This window comes from Homo sapiens, chromosome 8, assembly GCF_000001405.40.
Source record: "Homo sapiens chromosome 8, GRCh38.p14 Primary Assembly".
Lineage (NCBI taxonomy): Eukaryota > Metazoa > Chordata > Mammalia > Primates > Hominidae > Homo > Homo sapiens.
Window position 1 is genome coordinate 37,987,881 of NC_000008.11, and position 1,138 is coordinate 37,989,018.

The following is a 1,138-nucleotide window of genomic DNA, read 5'->3' on the forward strand; positions in this document are numbered from 1 at the left end:
GAGTTCAAGACCAGCCTGGCCAACACGGTGAAATCCCGTCTCTACTAAAAATTTAAAAATTAGCCAGACATGGTGGCAGGTGCCTGTAATTCCAGCTACTTGGGAGGCTGAGGCAGGAGAATTGCTTGAACCCAGGAGGCAGAGGTTGCAGTGAGCCGAGATCACACTGTTGCACTCCAGCCTAGGCAACAGACTGAGACTCCTTCTCAAAATAAATAAATATATAAACAAACAAACAAACAAACCAGGAACCTGATGCTCTTCTGCCTTCAAATTTCGGGTGCACGTGGGGAAAGAAGTAGAACATTCAACTCACCCATGAGACAACCTCAAGAAACCAGCAGCATTTTAGAATCTCTCTTCCAGGCATGGTGGACTCTTCTCACTAAAGTTCCAGCTACTCTCAAAGGAGCTTAAAGAGATGGGAATTTTCTCAGGGAAACCAAGCTTCCTGTACGCCCACAGCCTTCCAGTGACCATGTGACCATTGATGCTTCAGCTATCAGATGAAAGCAAGCCCCTGGGATTCTGTCTCCACTATCTCAGAGGAGGGCTGGCCAGAGTTTGATCTCCCTTTTTCTTTCATCCTGTTCTTCTACAGTATCTATTTTATCTTAATAAGAGGTAGAGTAATTCCTCCCACTTTCATCTTTCTTTTTTTCCCAAGATTATTTTCCTGTTCCTAGAGTCTATATTTTCCCATGTACATTTTAGAATAAACTTGTCTATGTCTACAAAATACTTTGCTGGGATTTTAATAGTAATTACACTTCTAAAAAAAATTATTTTTGGCTGGGCTCAGTGGCTCACGCCTGGAATCCTAACACTTTGAGAGGCCAAGGCGGGTGGATCACCTGAGGTCAGGAGTTCAAGACCAGCCTGGCTAACATGGCAAAACCCTGTCTCTACTAAAAATACAAAAGTTAGCCAGGTGTGGTGGCACCCACCTGTAATCTCAGCTACTTGGCAGGAGAGTCACTTGAACCTGGGAGGTGGAGGTTGCAGTGAGCCGAGATCTCATCACTGTGCTCCAGCCTGGGTGACAGAATGAGACTCTGTCTCAAAATAAAGAAATAAATAAGGCCGGGCGCGGTGGCTCACGCCTGTAATCCCAGCACTTTGGGAGGCCGAGGCGGGC

General features: G+C 45.8%; 1 annotated feature.

The window, feature by feature from the left end:
* Positions 378-568: a silencer, noted in NCBI's record as "fragment chr8:37845776-37845966 (GRCh37/hg19 assembly coordinates)". NCBI's record gives its function as "represses an EF-1alpha promoter that drives an FKBP-Casp9 reporter gene in an ReSE screen in K562 erythroleukemia cells {active_cell/tissue: K562}" and the evidence as "EXISTENCE:reporter gene assay evidence [ECO:0000049][PMID:32094911]".